Here is a 19,912-nt window from a genome sequence, read left to right as displayed (position 1 = left end):
GCTGCTCTACTGCCGGTGAACAACAGCCTTGGTGTAAGCCTTGGTGAGGGAGATTTACTGCCATCTGGCCATCCGCTACCACCAGCTGCCCTCCACATCTGGTACAGTGAGGATTTCAGTTAATTAGGGTCCCGTAGTCCCAGTTGCCCTGCAAAATGGGAAGCAGCCTAGTGGTTTTTAAACCCTAAGGCTTAAAGAGTCCCTAAGGGTGAAAATCTGCATAGTTTCTCTAGAAACTATCCAGATAATGCAAGATTCTGGTTCTTCAAGAGAATAGCTTTTGGAGAAATAGTGGTTGGTTTTCCTTTCCCTTTTGATAGGAAAGAAAGTTTTCCAGGGAGAGAAATGTATAAACTTTGTAGTTACAGTCAGAAGAATGGCAGAATCAGCCCCAGTTCACGTTCCATTAATTCCTTTGAACCCTGAACTCTAGTGACCCGAACCCTAAAGTATTTCTCTTCCGTGGCCCTTGTGCCAGATGCACCCACTGCATATCCCAAGAACATTCTCTGATTTTCCCATTACTACTTGAAGACTAGGGCTGAAATGCCTGTTTTGTGCTGAGAAAGTGTAATTTCTGTTCAAGCAGGAAAGATTTGGATGGCCCTGTCCTTTAGCCTAATGATTCAAGAATCACACAGGTGAATTCTGCTTTGGTAAATAGCTAATTGTGTGAAGCCAGCTGGAGGAGCCCCAGGCACACTGTTCTGTGAATGGGTGGCCCTTGAACAAAATGGCAAGTTATGAGTTTGAGGAAGCAAGAAACAAACAACAAAACCAAACAATAGGCGGGGCACAGTGGCTCTCACCTGCAATACCAGCACTTTGAGAGACTGAGGTGGGAGGATCACTTGAGGCCAAGAGATCGAGACTAGTCTGGCCAACATAGCAAAACCCCATCTCTACAAAAAATTAAATTAGCTAGGCATGGTGGTGCACCCTGTAGTCCCAGCCACTCGGGAGACTGAGGCGGTAGCACTGCTTCAGCCCTGGAGGTCGAGACTTCAGTGAGCCCCTCCCGAACACCTAAGAACCACTGAGTTGGACTTTCCAGGTGGTGGGTCTTCAGTAATCTTCAGGCCTCATTACTTGCTTGCCTCCTTTTTGGTGTCCGTTATTTACCAACACCTTCAAATGGTAAGATAAAAAAATGAATACAAATAAGGAAACGAGCCAGGTGCAGTGACTCACTGCAAAGTGCAGTAATCCCAGCACTTTGGGAGGCCGAGGCAGGCAGATCATTTCAGTCCAGGAGTTCAGGACCAGCCTAGCCAACATGGTGAAATTCCATCTGAGTGTGGTGGCACACGCCTGTAGTCCCAGCTACTTGGGAGATTGAGGTGAGAGAATCGCATGAGCCTGGGAAGCAGAGGCTGCAGTGGACCGAGACTGCGCCACTGCACTCCATCCTGGGCAACAGAGCAAGACCCTGTCTCAAAATCATAATGAAAACAATAAAGCAAAAACAAAAAGCCAATGACTAAAGGGAGGCATTAATTCAGAAGTGGCAATTGAGTCCTCTGTCTCTAGCCATGGATCAGAATGCAGAAAGCAGACAACTGCTTCTGAAATTTTCTGTGAGTTCTAAGTTCTGATCTCTGATATCAAGATTGTGCTAAGCTATAACTTAATTCTCATAATTTAGTATTTTATGTATTTATACATAGATTTCCAGGGTGGCTTGGCTGGAGATGACAGTATGAAAAATACAGCACTAAATTCTCTGAGAAGACATCATCTCTGTTTTGAGTGACGATATCCTAAGACTTGGATACTGATAGAAAATAGGTCTTGGCCGGGCGCAGTGGCTCACGCCTGTAATTCCAACACTTTGGGAGGCCGAGCCGTGTGGATCACCTGAGGTTGGGAGTTCGAGACCAGCCTGACCACCATGGAGAAACCCCGTCTCTACTAAAAACACAAAATTAGCCAGGTGTGGTGGTGCATGCCTCTAATCCCAGCTACTTGGGAGGCTGAGGCAGGAGAATCACTTGAACTCGGGAGGTGGAGGTTTCGGTGAGCCAAGATTGCGCCATTGTACTCCAGCCTGGGCAAGAAGAGCAAAACTCCGTCTCAAAAAAAAGAAAAAAAGAAAGGAAATAAAGAGAAAGAAAAAGAAAGAAGAAAGAAAGAAGAAAGGAAAAAAAGAAGAAAGAAAGAAAAAGAAAGAAAGAAAAAGAAAGAAAGGAAGGAAGGAAGGAAAGAAAGAGAAAGAAAGAAAAAGAAAGAAGGGAAGGAAGGAAGGATGGAAGGAAGGAGGGAGGGAAGGAAGGAAGGAAGGAGGCCTTGGCCAGGCATGGTGGCTCACACCTGTAATCCTAGCACTTTGGGAGACTGAGGTGGGTGGATCGCTTGAGTCCAGGAGTTTGAGACCAGCCTGGGCAACGTGGTGAAAACCTGTCTCTACAAAAAATACAAAAATCAGCTGTGTATGGTGGTGCATGCCTGTAGGCCCAGCTACTAGAGAGACTGAGGTGGGAGAATCACTTGAGCCTAGGAAGTCAAGTCTGCAGTGAGCTGTAAACATGCCACTGCACTCTAGCCTGGGCAGCAGAGCAAGACCCTGTCTCAAAAAAAGGAAAGAGAAAAGGTCTCAAAACAAGGAAGTGTCACCTTGGCTTTATACATAACCTCAGAACCACCTAGAGTCAGAAACTCCTCTGTACTCATCTTCCATCCCAAACCACAAGGTCCTTTCTCAATCAGTCACCTTTAGTAATGAATGCCAAGGTATCTTCCTTTAGAGATGAATTTTAGCATGAATTCCTCTCCCTGCTTAAACAAGCAGATACACTTGGCCACTCTGGTAGAACTTGGTAACAATGCCAATAAAAGGAGTATTTGTGATTCTTCAGTCAAGCCAGAAAGGATGACACCAGAAATTGCTTTGACTCATTATCACAATTTGCAGAGATAAGAGTGCATTCAGGAAGGCTTGAGAAGTTATACATAGGGAGTGTCCAAGTACTCAGAGATTAAATGAATGCCTCAGGAAACAGTAAGTCTCACATCATCAGTGGGATATTCAAGCTAGACTGCCCCTTGGCACATATCATGGAGAGAACATGTGGCAAGAAATGAGGATGAACTAGATCAGATATCCAGTTTCTTCTCATCTAAGGTCTGTGAATTAAAATAAATAATGCTAATGATCTTAGTGTTTGTAACAACTTAAGGTGGGTTTCTGGGCTCAAGGATCAGAAAACCACAGACCTGACTAGGATCCTGGGAGTTGAGAGATAACATAAATTTTAATGAAAATAACCCTGCCAAAGTGACCAGAGTGAGTGTGTGTGTCTGTGGTTTTTGTTTGTTTGAGATAAGGTCTTGCTCTGTCACCTTGGCTAGAGTGCAGTGGTGCAATCTTGGCTCACTGCATCCTCAACCTCCTGAGCTCAAGCAATCCTCCCGCCTCAGCCTCATAAAGTGATGGTACTACAGGCATGAGCCACCACCATTCCCAGCCCAGAGTGTTTTGTTTTGTTTAGAGAAAGGGTCTTGCTGTGTCACCCAGGCTGGATTGCCCAGTGGTGTGATCATGGCTTACCACAGCCTCGACCTCCCGAGCTCAGGTGATCCTCCTACCTCAGACTCCTAAGTAGCTGGGACTACAGGTGTGCACCACCATGCCTAGCTAATTTTTGTATTTTTTGTATAGATAGGGTTTGTTACTATGTTACTCAGGCTGGTCTCGAACTCCTGGGTTCAAGGGATCTTTTCACCTCGGCCTCCCAAAAGTCTGAGATTATAGGTGTGAGCTACCACACCTGGCATCAGAGTATATTTTTAAGATAGCCAATGATTATGCTCTAGTCGCACTTGCTCAGAGGAGCTAAAGGTTTTTTTTTATTGTTGTTTGTTTGTTTGAGACGGAATCTCGCTCTGTCGCCCAGGCTGGAGTGCAGTGGCACCATCTCGGCTCACTGCAAGCTCCGCCTCCCAAGTTCACGCCATTTTCCTGCCTCAGCCTCCCGAGTAGCTGGGACTACAGGCGCCCGCCACCACGCCCGGCTAATTTTTTGTATTTTCAGTAGAGACGGGGTTTCACTGTGGTCTCGATCTCCTGACCTCATGATCCGCCCACCTCGGCCTCCCAAAGTGCTGGGATTATAGGAGTGAGCCATCGCACCCGGCCGGAGCTAAAGTTTTGAAGGTAAAATGATACTTCATTGAAACAATAAGACACTCATGCATCAAAAGTAAGTCTCTAGTCCCTCTAGTCTTACCTTGTAATAATGCAATACCTTGCCTTAGTATTTAGTATGGTTGAACAAAAAATTTCTCTCCAACTTATTTGTCTCTGAATAGTAAATCAGTCTCCCAGTAACACTGGAATGTTATTATTTTTTAAATCTCCAGAAACAAATATGTGCTGTTTGTCTTCTGAAGTCTTCTGTGTACTAAGCCATGCTTGCCTACTGTGGCGTTTAGCAGAGCCTCAGTGCACATTCTCTAGCCACTGGATGTTGCCTCACTTTTGTAGATCTAGCCTCGTGTGGCCTAACACTAACCAGCAGCAGCTCTGTTTAATCAATAACCAGGTCTCCTGTTCTGGGCTAATAATTTCCCAGCAGGCGCACAATTCCCTGATCATTGATGGTGCCTACAACAAATATATTATTCAGTGGGCAAACAGTGTTTGTGTGTTGATAGGATACTGAAGTAATAGTTTGGAGATGTGGGTTCCAGTTTCTACTTCATCTATGACTTAAGTGACCCTGAGAAAGTTATTTTATGAGTTGTTCCATATGAAAAGACTGGGAATGTGTATAGGCCTTAATTTATAAGGTCTGTTAGGATATAATGAGATACTTAATAGCAAACAGATCCCATTCTCCAAGACTCTAATTCCTCAGCCATAGCTCAAAGACCTCCATGATGAAGGGGCATCTGCTTTCAAATCACAGTCTTTATTCTCTGATCAACATCTTATAAGGCTAAGAAGTTCCAGTTATTAATTGCACTGCAAAGTTGGGAAGGGCCTGGAAGAGCAGCACCTTTGAGCCTCACAGGTTGGGTTTGGGTTGCCCAGTTGAGGACAAACTCTCCCCATCCCCACCCCCATATATGTACACACACACTGATACTATGTCACAGCTAATTGGTTTCACATCAATTTTTGTCAAAAACCATCTGCATTTCTATTTCTTATAGATGGTCAGAGACGATGTGACTTTTAAGATCTCATGGTTAGTGGTGGGGCTAAGACCAGACCCAAATTAGTGCTCTTTATGCCATACATTATTTGCCTTTTCCTAATCACTGTCTGAGATGATACTAAACAATGTCCATTTTGGACTCCAAAATGTAAAGGATTTTAACAAAAAGGTGGGGGTTTCAGGGTATCTCTCTTCAGAGCTGCCGGGGTGCACAACTGCATGGGGGGAGCCATGCACGTTATCTACAAATGGCACCCTTTAAATTTCACTGCACAGCCTGCACAGAGCTAACACCCTCAGCAGCCTTCTCTCCCTGTATCCGTTAAGAACAAGTACCTGAAAATAGGGTAGCAAAAGGTAAAGTCATTAATTGCCCAGGACACATACAGGAAGACCCTGATTCTGCAGCTGGCGAAATGTGATGTAGGTGATGGCATAGGGGCTGTGAAGCTAGCTGACAATCGTGATTAATTTTTTTTTTTTTTGAGACAGAGTCTCACTTTGTTGCCCAGGCTGGAGTGCAGTGGCATGATCTCAGCTCACTGCAACCTCCGCCTCTTGGGTTCAAGCAACTCTCCTGCCTCAGCCTCCCAAGTAGCTGGGACTACGGGCATGCGCAACCACACCCAGCTAATTTGTGTATTTTTGTAGAGATAGGGTTTCTCTATGTTGGCCAGGCTGGTCTCAAACTCCCGACCACAAGTGATCCGCCTGCCTTGGCCTCCCAAAGTGCTAGAATTATAGGTGTGAGGCACCGTGCCCGACCTCCCATGACTAATTTTATGTTCAAATTTCTTTTATAGTCAGGTAGGATAGATTTCAAATTCTAAGCATAACTCGAATCTTTCATCCCACTGTAATTTGAAGAACCCAATTGTGAGGAGAAAACAAAGAATCTTTTTTTAGAGACGGAGTCTCCTTATGTTGCCCAGGCTGGACACCAAACTCCTGGGCTCAAGCAATCATCCCACCTCAACCTCCTGAGTAGGGGGGGATCTATAGGCATGAGCCTCTATGCCCTAGAAATCTTGTTTTTTAACCCCATTGAGTTAGTCCAAATTCAGGTGGGTATATTGAAAATACTGGAGATGAGGTCTGGGATCTAATCCTGGCTCTGCAAGGCAAAGTCTAGCTCTGTCACCTAGGCTGGAATGTAGTGGTATGATCATGGCTTACTGCAGCCTTAACCTTCCAGGCTCAAGCAATCCTCCCACCTCAGCCTCCCAAGTAGCTGGGACTACAGGCATGTGTCACCATGCTCATCTAATATTTTTATTATTTTTTTGTAGATAGATAGGGTCTCACTATGTTGCCCAGGCTGGTCTCAAACTCCTGGTCTCAAGCAATCCTTCCACCTCAGCCTCTCAAAGTGGTAGGACTGCAGGCATGAGCCATTGCACCTGGCTGCCACACAGCTGTTTGAGGCAAGCAAATTAAACACTATAGAAATGTTAATCTCAAAATAGTTCAAATGTCGACATTCTAGGAGTTAAAAAACTGCCACTTTAAGTCTTCTTTTCAATATGGTAGGTAACCTAAATTATACTTTATCCTTTTTTTTTTTTTTTTTTTTTGAGACGGAGTCCCGCTCTGTAAACTAGGCTGGAGTGCAGTGGCGCGATCTCGGCTCACTGCAAGCTCCGCCTCCCGGGTTCACGCCTTTCTCCTGCCTCAGCCTCCGGGGTAGCTGGGATTACAGGCGTGAGCCACCGCGCCCGGCCCAACCTAAATTATACTTTTAAAAATGGTACTTAAAACTATTTTCTTGGCTGGGTGTGGTGGCTCACGCCTGTAATCCCAGCACTTTGGGAGGGCGAGGCAGATGGTTCATCTGAGGTCAGGAGTTCGCAACCAGCTTGGCCAGGATGGAGAAACCCCATCTTTACTAAAAATACAAAAATTAGCTGGGCTTGGTGGCACACACCTGTAATCCCAGCTACTTCAGAGGCTGAGCCACGAGAATCACTTGAACCTGGGAGGCGGAGGTTGTTGTGAGCCAAGATCAGGCCACTACACTCTAGCCTGGGTAACAGAGAGAGGCTGCCTCAAAAACAAAAAAACAAACAAAAAACCCAAAAGTTATTTTCTTTTCTTTTTTTTTTTTTGAGATGGAGCCTCACTCTGTCACCCAGGCTAGAGTGTAGTGGCCTGATCTTGGCTCACTGCAACCTTCGCCTCTCAGGTTCAAGTAATTCTCCTGCCTAAGCCTCCTTAGTAGCTGGGATTACAGGCACCCACCGCCTGGCTAATTTTTGTTATTTATTTATTTATTTATTTATTTATTTTTAATTTTGAGACGGAGTCTCGCTCTGTCGCCCAGGCTGGAGTGCAGTGGCACGATCTCGGCTCGCTGCAATCTCTGCCTCCCGGGTTCACGCCGTTCTCCTGCCTCAGCCTCCCGAGTAGCTGGGACTGCAGGAGCCCACCACCATGCCCGGCTAATTTTTTGTATTTTTAGTAGAGACGGGGTTTCACCATGTATTTTTAGTAGAGATGGGGTTTCACCACGTTGGTCAGGCTAGTCTCAAAACTCCTGACCTCAGGTGATCTGCCTGCCTCAGCCTCCCGAAGTGCTGGGATTACAGGTTGAGCCATCACGCCCGGCCCTATTTTCTTTTTAAATTAAAAAACATAAATCCCAGCCCCTGAGCATTTCTCCCTCTGAATTAGTCTTCTGACAAAAAAAAAAGTCACAGTGTTTTAAATAGGACTGGATTCCATGGTTTACTGCCCCCACATAGGGCTAAAATGTGATTTTTCAAATCTAGGGAGATAAGCCCAGATAAGACCACCTTTTGAGGCTTTGTACAAGACCCAAGAGAACTGCTTACATTTATGGCTCCGTGTATCGGCGTTGTGGTTATGCAGACCACAAGGTAGAAATAAAACGTAAGAACTTGCATCAAGCAGTCAGAATTTCAACTAGAATAATCTCACACCCAGAACACAATAGGCCACTTCACTCTGGGCAGACAGAAGGCGAGCCAATTAGACTAGAGGGTTTTTATATATATATATATATATATTTTTTTTTTTTTTTTTTGAGACGGAGTCTCGCTGTCACCTAGGCTGGAGTGCAGTCACACGATCTCGGCTCACTGCAAACTCTGCCTCCTGGGTTCAAGTGATTCTCCTGCCTCAGCCTCCCGAGTAGCTGGGATTACAGGCGCCCGCCACCACACCCAGCTAATTTTTGCATTTTTAGTAGAGACAGGGTTTCGCCATGTTGGTCTCGAACTCCTGACCTCAGGTGATCCACCAAACTTGGCCTCCCAAAGTGCTGGGATTACAGGTGCGAGCCACCGCACCCGGACGAGGGTTTATGTCTTTTATCAGATGGTACACTCTTACCATCTGAGTGGTAATCCCATTTTTGTAACCCCAACATTCAGCACACTGCCTAAGGTTCAGTAATTATCCAATAGTCACTCAATAGAGTTTATCTTCATGGGAATAAAATTGCTTAAAAAAACTGGACAGACACTGTGTACTAAAATTACTTTATTACAGTTGATTTTTTTAAACATTTCCTTTGCTATGATACAAAGGATACTTACAAACAAAATATTACATATGACCTTGTTTTCGCTCTTATGTTCTGACAACTTGGTAACAGCTTTTAATGCACAATCTATACAATTAATACAGGTTATATATGAACTATAAGGTATGCTGAACCAGAAGAATACTGACAATATACTGTACAATAAGCCTTACCAGTTAGTGCTGTGGACCATTTATACCAAAAGGAAAATGCACATCTGTACAGTCACCTTTACCAGCTGGTGCTGACAGAGAGGGAGAGGCTTCTTCCCCAATGCAACCCTTGATAAGCCTCCACTGTGAGCGTCTGTTTGGTCCAAAAATCGAGAGGACAATGTGTATTTAAAATTAGTTATTGGTAAAGTGGTAGAACATCACACTTTCGACACGATACTCTCTCAAAAAAGTATCAGTCCCAGTTTTAAAAGACCACAAGTTCTTTGTCCACTATGAAAACCCTACGGGCTCAGGGGGTTTGGGAGATGAGAAGATGAAGGCTGCCAAAAAAGGAGGCAAGAAACCAAGCCAAAATCTAGGTCTTGCAAAATCATCATTTTTCCCTTCACCAAAGGGAACTAGAAATGTACAAATTCATTGATGAACCTCAATGATAGCATATCAGTTAGCTGATAACCCTCATTTTATCTGGACCCCTGACTTGTGGGAATAACTAAAATACATTGTGGATAACAGATACCACTTTTAGAAAAGAACCTCTTGCTTAATTAACATATTCCCTTTAGCCACCACAGCTGGTCCTGGGCTACTACAGGTGTGCATTCATCGCTCAATGGTCTACTCAGAAATGATAAGGTTACAGCTTTTTTTCTTTTTTTTTTTAAATAAAAAAGCAATTGACTGAAGCATTTTCTTTTTTTAGGTAAATAGCAAAAATAAAAATAAAAACCAACCCTGGCATTTGCACAAATAATGCAAATGGAGTGATATGGCCTTTAAGGAAGGAGTTAGTAGAAAGGAAGAGGGAAGTGAAGAAAATCCAGAGAAAATGATGTACTAATTTCTTTCTTTTAAAAAATTTCTACATGTGCAAAAAAATCATGCTGTTTGAGGAAAACAAAGGGAAATGAGTACATAAAACTAAAAACATAAATATGTTTGGGTGACTGGTAAAAGTAGAAACCAACCTGGGTTACAAAAAGGATTATACATTCAAGATGCTCTTAAACCCAGTGGGATAACTTATGTTAAAACTGTGTTAATAGTTACGTTAAAAATCTCAAGTTTGTTTTTAAATCTTCACAATACAAGCAAAGCTGTTTTAAAATATACACTATACATATTTCTCATAGTCTCTTCAACCTCATTAATGCGCATTAGGCTTTTTCATATACTAAAACAAGGGGGTTCTGAAAGCGAAATTGCTCATAGTAACCCATCCATTATTTTAAATGGTTGTCTTAAGTTTTAAGTGGGCTAAAAAACTTTAGCAGACTTACATAAATAGAATTTAGCAACACAAGTGTTAATTAAAAAAACTCTAAAGCATTTACAAATTATCAGATTGGAACAGTCCGGGGAAGTTATGTGCACTATACTTTAAATGTTATTTACATCCGACCATTGCTTTTGCAAAAGAGTTCCCTAAAAAATAACAAAACAAAACAAAACAAATTTGGAGAATTAACCTGTTCTAGCAGAGAAGGATCATAAAAGAAAAGGTAAAATGAGAACAAAATTATCTTCTAATAGAAACCCCACACATCCTTCTCTTTTCTTGGATTTTACCCTATGAAACCACCTGCAGCTCCTAATAGGCTCATATATAAGGTGTCAAGGTGTGATAAAATACCTTTTCAGATAAATTACTGGCCTTAAGAGGACTTTTTTTTTTTGAAATGTTTTCCCACCTTGTGTCTCTAGCTTGGATTATTCTTGGACACATGTAATTAATTGGAGGGGCACTCCTAAGTAGGCACAATTCCCATTTAATGTGGAATAAAAGGCATAAAATGCTGTTAGGAAGAAGGGTGGTGGTTTCTTTGATATTGTGAAATGCAAAGAAGGACAGCAGCACATTTGGAATGGGAACCAAAAGAGAGCTGTCTGGCAATACACCAGGACAGCCAACATCTTGGTAAGTTATATATAAACTTGTCTATGACAAAGGAAAAAGTGTTGGAAGGGTTCCAATAGCCCCGGGGTTTTTGGATACGAGACAAATGGTCACATAGACCACCCAGAATCTGCAAATGTTGGGCAGTTACATCCTTTAAAGTCACATAATTCAGTCCATGACCATGTGCAATTTACGGTAACAATGTTCATGCCCAGGCAATGTATTTGGGGCTCAGAAAAAGCAAAATGTGCCACTGAGAGAAACCTGTTCCCTATATAACTGGTCTTCATGCTTTCAAGTGGCCCTAATATACCTTGGATACTAAGCCAAGCCATGCAAAAGCAAAGAGCACACACTTTTCATTAACACTGGTATCTCATTTCTAAACCACTGACCTCAGAGTTGCCATAGAAACATATTAACACGAGTACTGAAAGCATACAACTGAGGGTTCACGGATTTCTAAGAAATGCATTTCCCTTGTCTATGTTCATCAGCCTTTAATACTTTGGCTACAAGGCATATCAGAGAAAGGGAGGTTAAATTGGGTAATGACAAAAGAACATATGTAACTCTGGAAATAGGAAAAATGTTCCAGAAATGGGATCAATGTGCCAGCAATAAGCATAGTTCATTTCATTTGAAAATTCAGTTAAAGAGCCCAATAAACAGTTCCAAACCATGTTATCACCTGCATAATTTACATAAACATTAAAACACTTGCACTTTATAGACAAAACACACTTTTGTAAACATGGCCACTGGGGGAGAGAGGCTCCCTACCTCATTCATGATTGAGGACATGTGATCATTTATATTAAATAAAATTATTTCACTGCAAAAGATCTCAAACCTGACCATGATTAAGCTTCATTTCCCCCTGTTTAACATTTAAGTATTAATTCTAAAAATGTCACCTAGGATGGTTTCAGGGTTAGATGCTAGGACCACAACTGGTAATGACAGCAACTTCTCTCTAGCTGGCACAGACCTATAAACTTTAGTACAAAAACAAAAAAATACAGAAACTAGGTCAATTTGTTAGCTACATATTTACAGATAATTACATGATTTTTCACTCACAAGTGCTGAACACTTTGAGTGAAAGAAAACTGTGCAGGTTGAATTACCCGTACTTTGGGGGGAATTCTGGGTATCAAGATACCCTTTTTCATTCATTCAAAAGTCTCATCTTCTCTCCACTTTTTCATGACAAACTACCTACAGATGTTCAGATTAGTATATCCAGTGGGCATCCTGGTGTTTCAGTGAGGATTAACCTTTTTCTCTATTTAAAGAATTCCTTGTATATTTAGAAACAAAACAATACAATCACACAGACATATATACAAAAAAAAAATACACCTCTGAAACTTCAAAAAGTTTAGATTGCTGGGAAACAGTTAACAGTGATGGTGACATAGTAAATGGCTCCCCAGTTTTAATTCTCTGCCTTTATTTTCTTTAAAGGATATCTATCTTTGGGTGGGTAGGAAGTGCAAGTTTAAGAAACCCACAACAGGCAGATAAGGTGCATACTAATTTATATATTTCTTATGATCTAAAGACTACCGTTAAGCTAAATGGAGTCTCTTCCCTTGTATGAGTGAAATTTTGGAAATCTGAATACAAACAAGGAGGAAAACATTAGTCAACATGACTTTAAAGGGAACTACCGGAATTCAGCAGAAAATATAAATGCACAATAAAGGAAGAGTTCTCAGCTTCACTTTCTTTTTCTAGACAGTGTTTAATAAAACTTACTTCTTTACAAATTAATAGTCATTTCCAATGCAGACCTATTGTAGTGATTTCATAAAAGTGCAGACAACATAACCAGACACAGCAAAACAGACTTCAATCAGTAGTCCTTGCATACAAGAGGCAAGTCCGCTAAGTGTACAGCCAACTCTTCATCCTTTAAGGGATCTGAGGATGGGAAATTTCCAGTTCTTAAAAACTAAGAGTGAGTGAGTCTCTTTTAAAAGGCAATGCTACAACCTGGTTGGGGGCACTATCATGTTAGATGGGGGAAAACAAAATAGATAATTTGTTTTTCTTCAATAATGGTCTGTATTTTGGTAAACAGCTCAAAGATGACAGCCCAAGTTTTGACATTGCTCTTGGAGAAGGCTCTTTTCTATCTAAGACAAGAGAACCTCTTCTTCCATCATTATAGGAGATTCACACTTATATACCTTAAATATATTATTTTTTGATTTGAATACAGAAGACACTTCACATTGTGAGCACAGGACAAAATGCAGGACCATATAAATCTCCAAGGAAAAAGTTAATGTGTTGGGGCAAATCTCTACTTGAATAGTAGTGGCTCAGAAGTGGTGGAAGGTGCACAAAGAACTTACTATTAGCAAGCAAGAAGAGGCAGGTAAAGGGAGAAAGCCCCTCACCCAATACCAAATCCTTCTCTCCCAGTGGCCATTTCCTGTTGATTTTACAGTTCAGGAGAATCTTAGATGCTTTAGCAGTAATTCCTTTCTTGGCTGTTTTGATCCTCAGCAAAGTATATAATTATTAGTATTAATGGAGTAAAAAAAGTAAGAGGATCAATGGTATCACTACTAAGAAATACATATAGAAAGCACATAAAGATTGTGTGATTTATTGGTTCTTTTTCTTATCATCTTTGCAGAGGAATCACCATCAGTGTTCTTACTTTCCATGGTTCATTTCTCTCTGCATTACTTATCTCTTATTGCATCACAACACAAACTCACAGAAACACTAACTGGCTCCTTCCCCAGCACCATTTTACTGCATTGCAACTTATGATTCCAAATTTTACTTAATGTCCTCTCCACTCACAGAAGTGCTAAGAGGGGATTAAAAAGGAAAAGACTGCATCTAATGACCACCTTCTCATAAACATCAACGCAGAGTACTCATTCTTAAGAAACACATGCATTCTTGCCTTAACTGAGGACTGAAATAACAAAACCAAACAAAAATAACAGAACTTTTAAGTGCCCTGATGGAAATGTACAGTATGAGTTACATCCATCCATCTATACACACATACAGACACTCATATGTATATACAATATATACATACAAATGATAATAGCTATACCAAAAATGTGCATATTTAATACAGTTTTAAAAAGCCAGTAGATCATGGTATAATACAATTTATTTCCACTAGTGAATGGCACAAATGGAGAAATGCAAAGGAGGTGTTTCAAGTACAATGAAGTCATTTTTCACAGGTGAAAATAAATAGTATTATTCCAGTGTCCAACATAATGTATTCTACAAAAGTTTAAAATGCCAGACATTTAGTACTTACAGAAATAGAAAGTTACTAAAGTCTGCTTTATGGTCTCAAAAAGACACTCATAGAGTTTTCAATTTTTGAAAAGGGGGTGAGAAAAAAATTGGTGGAAGCAGGAGGGAGTGTCCAGGATAGTTTCTTTAGTGTACTGAATGTTTACCTGATGTCTAGGCAACCAAAAATCATGACTATGCTAAAATGTTCCATTTACCAACAAATCCTTGACCTAGAGTACTAAGCATATTACACCAGTGTGTGTGGCTTCAAATACAAGACTCTCTATCTCTAGGTATTGAAATGGCGAATAAGAATTGCAGCTCTGAAAATATAATATAAACACATTTTTCAGATAGCATTATACAAATAAAAATACTTTTGGATACTAGAATTTGGGGTTAGAGCTGACTTCAATAAGGGGAGGAAAAAATATGTGCAAAGGGAAGGGAGCTCAATTTGGAATAATATATTTCAAAGTATGTGGCTTTGCATTTTTAAAATGCTAACCAAAAAAAATGTGAGATAGAGTGACCCCAAGGAACTTTTTACAGCCAGCCTCTGGATACCAGATATAGCATTTACAACTTCTGATATGCTAGACAAATTTTCCATAGTTTTAATTTTCTTAAAGACATATAGTGAGTGAACACCAACACTGGGAAGGAGGTAGTGTTAATTTGATCAAATATTGATATTTCCCCACTGATTCAGAAAGTGCTTGCTCTTTCTCTAGGATATCTCAAAACCCTTCCAATTTTTCTGCTACAAGCTTTACTCTATGATGGTTCCTACTATGTATGAGATTCCTCAGAAGCTAGATCTCACAAACATATACAAACCAATTAATTTGAATCATTTTTTGCAAACTGTATATACTTTAAAGTTAACTTAATGATAAAATCCAGGTATAGTCATGACCTACATGTAAAACTGGTGGCCAAATACATTAGATACAAAACCCTACTGGAGATCTGAATGGACTCAGTAACTCTCAATTTGACTAATTTAAGTCCACAATTGGACTTTAAAATGTACCACCAATAATATTTTGGGTTTGAAAGAGTTTTTGTATGCAAAAGTGATCTGCTTCCCTATTCCACCCATCCAGTAGTACAGAGCAGCCAGATCTATGAATAATTTTTAAGGGTATCAAATTGTATTTTTGACATTTTATTAAATTCTAAAGCTCTCTCGTCATTTTACACCAAATAAGTAATTTCTCAATTTGTTGGAAACGCTATAATACCTGAATGCAAAAAAGATACTGAGACGACTAAAAGCCCCTTTCACTGATATTACAAGTACATGTCATGTCATGTTTACCTAAAAACCGGTGACCTGGAGCATGGGCTGAAAGAACAACACATAAGAGTGCTTCTTGAAACACTGCCTAAAATTTTGTGTGAACTCTATGGTGATCTTGGTTTTAAAAACATTTACATTAAAACATTAATTTTCTTCCAGTTTCCTTAAAATGAATCCCAGAAACTCCTACAGGTGAGGATTCATGGCAACTCGACTGACATACCTGGGAAAGACTTAAAATTTGGTTGAGAAAACCAGGACTTCAACAGTGATAGATTGATTACTGTTTGGTCATTAGTTTGGTCTAGGCAAAGAGTGCCATTGAGAGGGACTTAGAGAGTTCTACCTTGGAGCCCTCTGACTATAGGAAAAGCAGGATCCAGAGTTAGCAGCAAGGATTCTTCAAGACAACTTGGAAGGGAGCAGGACAATAACTTGTAAGAAACTCTGATTTGTCACTGAAAAGGATATTTTTCTTCAAGTCATACTCACAGCTTCCTACCCACCTCCAACACAATTTATATACAAGAAATGGAAAACCAAGAAAATAACTGACTTTTTAGCATTGGGTTCATCCTTCATTGTACAACAAAACATAACAAAACAAAACATGTGCCCCCTGAAAAATAAGAGTTAGCTTTCGTCAAGAGATTCCCTGACCACTATAACTTATTTTACTTTTTTTTTTTAATTGGCCAAACTTCCTAGTTCCTTTTCAGTAGTACTTTAGCACTGAGGCTTGAGACTTGTGGAAGTGGTGTTTCCTATTGTGTGATGTTAACTTGATGCCAAATGGTCACTAAGTCTCAACGAACTAGAAGTTTGTAAAGTACTGCAGCAACGAAAACAGCAATTAAAAATAGAGGACCTGCACATGCAGCAAAATCTACAGTGGTGATGAAGATTAGTCAGCAGCTGGTAAAGTCATTGGCTCAGTGACTCCTGGTTCACTGTGGCAACTAAACATTTAAATAATTGGCTATTCTACTTGTAAACAGAAAATCACATAAGCCAAAAGGAGATAACAATTATGTCTATGTAGTGTGACGAGAATTTCAATAGATGGCAATTTGCAAATATGGCATCAAACACCTCCGGCATTTGATTTGTATTGGCTATATGTCTTTGTTTTTGTACAAACAAAGTAAAAGTACTGTTTGGGGTCTTGGGCATTATAGAGCTTAGCTAGGATGAGATATCACAGTATAAGCAACAAAACGTCAGGACACGTAAGCTTCATCTCCTCACTCTGCTGCGGGACATACCCACCATATGAACTTTCAGGGCCCCTCTCACCCTTCTGGTCTTCCCCATTGAAGGCTCATAGGTTTGTTAATGCAATCCTCACACAACTTGTGATCTCCTTAAGTACCCCCATCTTATCATAATACAAAGAAGGCACAATTGAATGGACAAAAATCACTCACAAGCCTATGACGCATTCAGGAAAAAAGAAAAACTAAGTTGTTTTCTACTCTCTGAAAAAATCAATGAAGTCCTTTAGTGTTCATGGATTTCTACACTTGATCTTAGCCAAAAGGCCGAGAAGCAATGTGTTCATGGATTTCTGCTTTCTTTTTTTAGTCCAAATGAGGCTGAGAAGTCAGATCAATTTAATAACAAATAAATACACTGGTGAGGCAATGCAGGTGTGTACCAGTAATAACTTATTTCAACATATGCTGCCTGCTGTGAGTGGCTCATAAGAATTTGGGATATGGGATAAAAAGGCTTTAGATCTTTTCAGAAACTTCTTAGGATACAGACACCCAAAAGTGATAACTGAAGCCATTTTGCTACGTTCTATTTTTGCAGTGTTCAGAAAAATCCCCTATCTAGCCAATTCTTTTCACCACATGCATAATATATGTGTATGTGTGTGTATATATATGTACACACATACACATTTATTTTTAATATCAACTCCACTTTTCAAAATTTCCCCAAAAACAAACAAACCCGGCAGCCAAGTACTATGACATCCCAATTAGTAAACACAAAACAGAACGCTTTACAAAAATGAATAAAATATACCATATGCACTCAGCTTCCACACTGTAGTACCCAAGTGAGGAGGCTGCTGTGATGATGTCTGTAGGCAGTTTCTTTTGGCAGACAGCTCCAGCGGAATTGCCACTCTCAATTATTAAGTTATGTATAAGACATGTGTGACCCATTGGATATTTGTGAAGTGACACTCGTGCTTCTGCTCATGCCCTGCTCCGTCCGTCCCCCAGAAGCTGTCCGCCTCAGAGCCTGGGGGCTATTGCGGACTCCCATACTGCTACCTCGAGGTACCCCTTGCATTGGCCCTGAAGGGTGACCCCATGGCTGGGGTCCACCTTGCATTGGATGGCCCCAAGCTTGTGGTGGGCCACCCATGGGATGACCCCAGTGAGGTCCTGGACCCCCAGTAGGGTTGTGTGACCAACCAGAAGCTCCCGGGTAGCTGTGGCTGAATGCCTCAGGGGAGAGATTAGAAAGGACCATATTACTAAAACCTAGTCTCATGCTTTCAGAGTCAAAAGCTTCAATCTCTCTGGCTTGACGTTCCAACAGGCTTCGTATTCGTTCTGTGCGCTCATTCTGCAAAGCCAACATCTCTTCTTCAATCTGTTGGAGATTGGAAGAAAAATGAAAGCCAATTTATTATTTTTAAGTCTATAAAGAAAGGAAGCAATAATTATTCAGCTTTGAAGTGGTTATTTTATGGATGTATATTTGTCCATGAGTTTCAAATTTTATTTAAACTTTTTCCCTTTAATTTATTAAAAAATTTTTAAAGTTTTTATATATTCGGGGGTACAACTGCAGATTTTTTTTACATGCACATATTGCGTAGTGGTGAAGTCTGGGCTTTTAGTGCACCCATAACTTGAATAGGGAACACTGTACCCAATAGGTAATTTTTCAACCCTCACTCATCTCCCACCCTCCCACCTTCTGTAGTCTCTAGTGTCTATTATTTGATGCTATGGATATACATTTAAAAATCAAGGCCGGGCGCGGTGGCTCACGCCTGTAGTCCCAGCACTTTGGGAGGCTGATGCGGGCGGATCATGAGGTCAGGAGATCGAGACCATCCTGGCTAACATGGTGAAACCCTGTGTCTACTAAAAATACAAAAAATTAGCCGGGCATGGTGGTGGCGGGCCCCTGTAGTCCCAGCTACTCAGGAGGCTGAGGCAGGAGAATGGTGTGAACCCGGGAGGTGAAGCTTGCAGTGAGCCGAGATCGTGCCACTGCACTCCAGCCTGGGCGACAGAGCGAGACTCCGTCTCACAAAAAAAATAAAAAGTAAAATAAAATAAAAAAATAAAAAGAGATGTCCCTTAGGAATCAGCATAATTTATATTTTTAAAATGTGTAAAATCAAGTTCCTTTTTTTCTTTTTTTTTGAGACGGAGTCTTGCACTGTCGCCTGGGCTGGAGTGGAATGTCACTATCTCAGCTCACTGCAACCTCCGCATCCTGGGTTCAAGCGATTCTCTAGCCTCAGCCTCCCATGTAGCTGGGATTACAGGCATGTGCTACCACATCCAGCTAATTTTTGTATTTTTAGTAGAGATGGGGTTTCACCATGTTGGCAAGGCTGATCTTGAACTGCTGACCTCAGATGATCCTCCCGCCTCAGCCTCCCAAAGTGCTGGGATTGAGGATTTGAGATAATAGGGGAAATTTAGACATGCATTTAAAAATTATTATGAATTCTGTTAGATATCACAGTGGAATTATGATTACATTAAAGTCAAAAGTCCTATCTAGGCCGGGCGCGGTGGATCACGCCCATAATCTCAGCACTTTGGGAGGCTGAGGCGGGTAGATCACTTGAGGTCAGAAGTTCGAGACCAGCCTGGCCAACATGGTGAAACCCCATCTCTACTAAAAATACAAAAATTAGCCAGGCGCGGTGGCACACGTCTGTAATCCCTGCTTCTTGGGAGGCTGAGGCAGGAGAATCACTTGAACCTGGCAGGCAGAGGCTGCAGTGAGCAGAGATCACACCACTGCACTCCAGCCTCGGCGACAGACTGAGACTCCATCTCAAAACAAACAAACAAATAAACAAAACAAAAATTTTTTTCATGGGAAGCAAATACAAATAAAAAATTGCAATAGAATGGGTTAAGATATTTATAAGGTACTACAGAAATAAAAAATGTATCAAGGCCGGGCGTGGTGGCTCATGCCTAGTAATCTCAACATTTTGGGAGGCCGAGGTGGGTGGATCACTTCAGGCCAGGAGTTTGAGACCAGCCTGGCCAAGATGGTGAAACCTCGTCTCTACTAAAAATACAAAAATTGGCCGGGCACAGTGGCTCACGACTGTAATCCCAGCACTTTGGGAGGCTGAGGCAGGCAGATCACTTGAGGTTGGGAGTTCGAGACCAGCCTGACCAACATGGAGAAACCCCGTCTCTAGTAAAAATACAAAATTAGCCGGGCGTGGTGGCACATGCCTGTAATCCCAGCTACTCGGGAGACTGAAGCAGAAGAATCGCTTGAACCTAGGAGGCGGAGGTTGCGGTGAGAAGAGAT

At 41.2% G+C, this 19,912-nt stretch overlaps 1 protein-coding gene and 1 pseudogene across 2 annotated transcripts in view; both read right to left on the bottom strand.

Moving 5' to 3' along the window:
* Positions 1-8,643: 8,643 nt before the first annotated feature.
* The window catches only part of TAOK1 (TAO kinase 1), a 161,541-nt gene continuing 150,272 nt past the window's right edge, over positions 8,644-19,912 (bottom strand). For both annotated transcript variants that reach the window (NM_020791.4, NM_025142.1), the window contains one exon: positions 8,644-17,986. In NM_020791.4, coding sequence (NP_065842.1) covers positions 17,525-17,986 — 462 coding nt within the window. In that variant the 3' untranslated portion in view covers positions 8,644-17,524. The remainder of the gene's footprint in view (positions 17,987-19,912) is intronic.
* On the bottom strand, positions 16,772-16,926 carry LOC124904148 (uncharacterized; annotated as a pseudogene).

Source organism: Homo sapiens, chromosome 17 (genome assembly GCF_000001405.40).
Source record: "Homo sapiens chromosome 17, GRCh38.p14 Primary Assembly".
NCBI lineage: Eukaryota > Metazoa > Chordata > Mammalia > Primates > Hominidae > Homo > Homo sapiens.
This window is presented reverse-complemented; position numbering and strand designations above follow the sequence as displayed.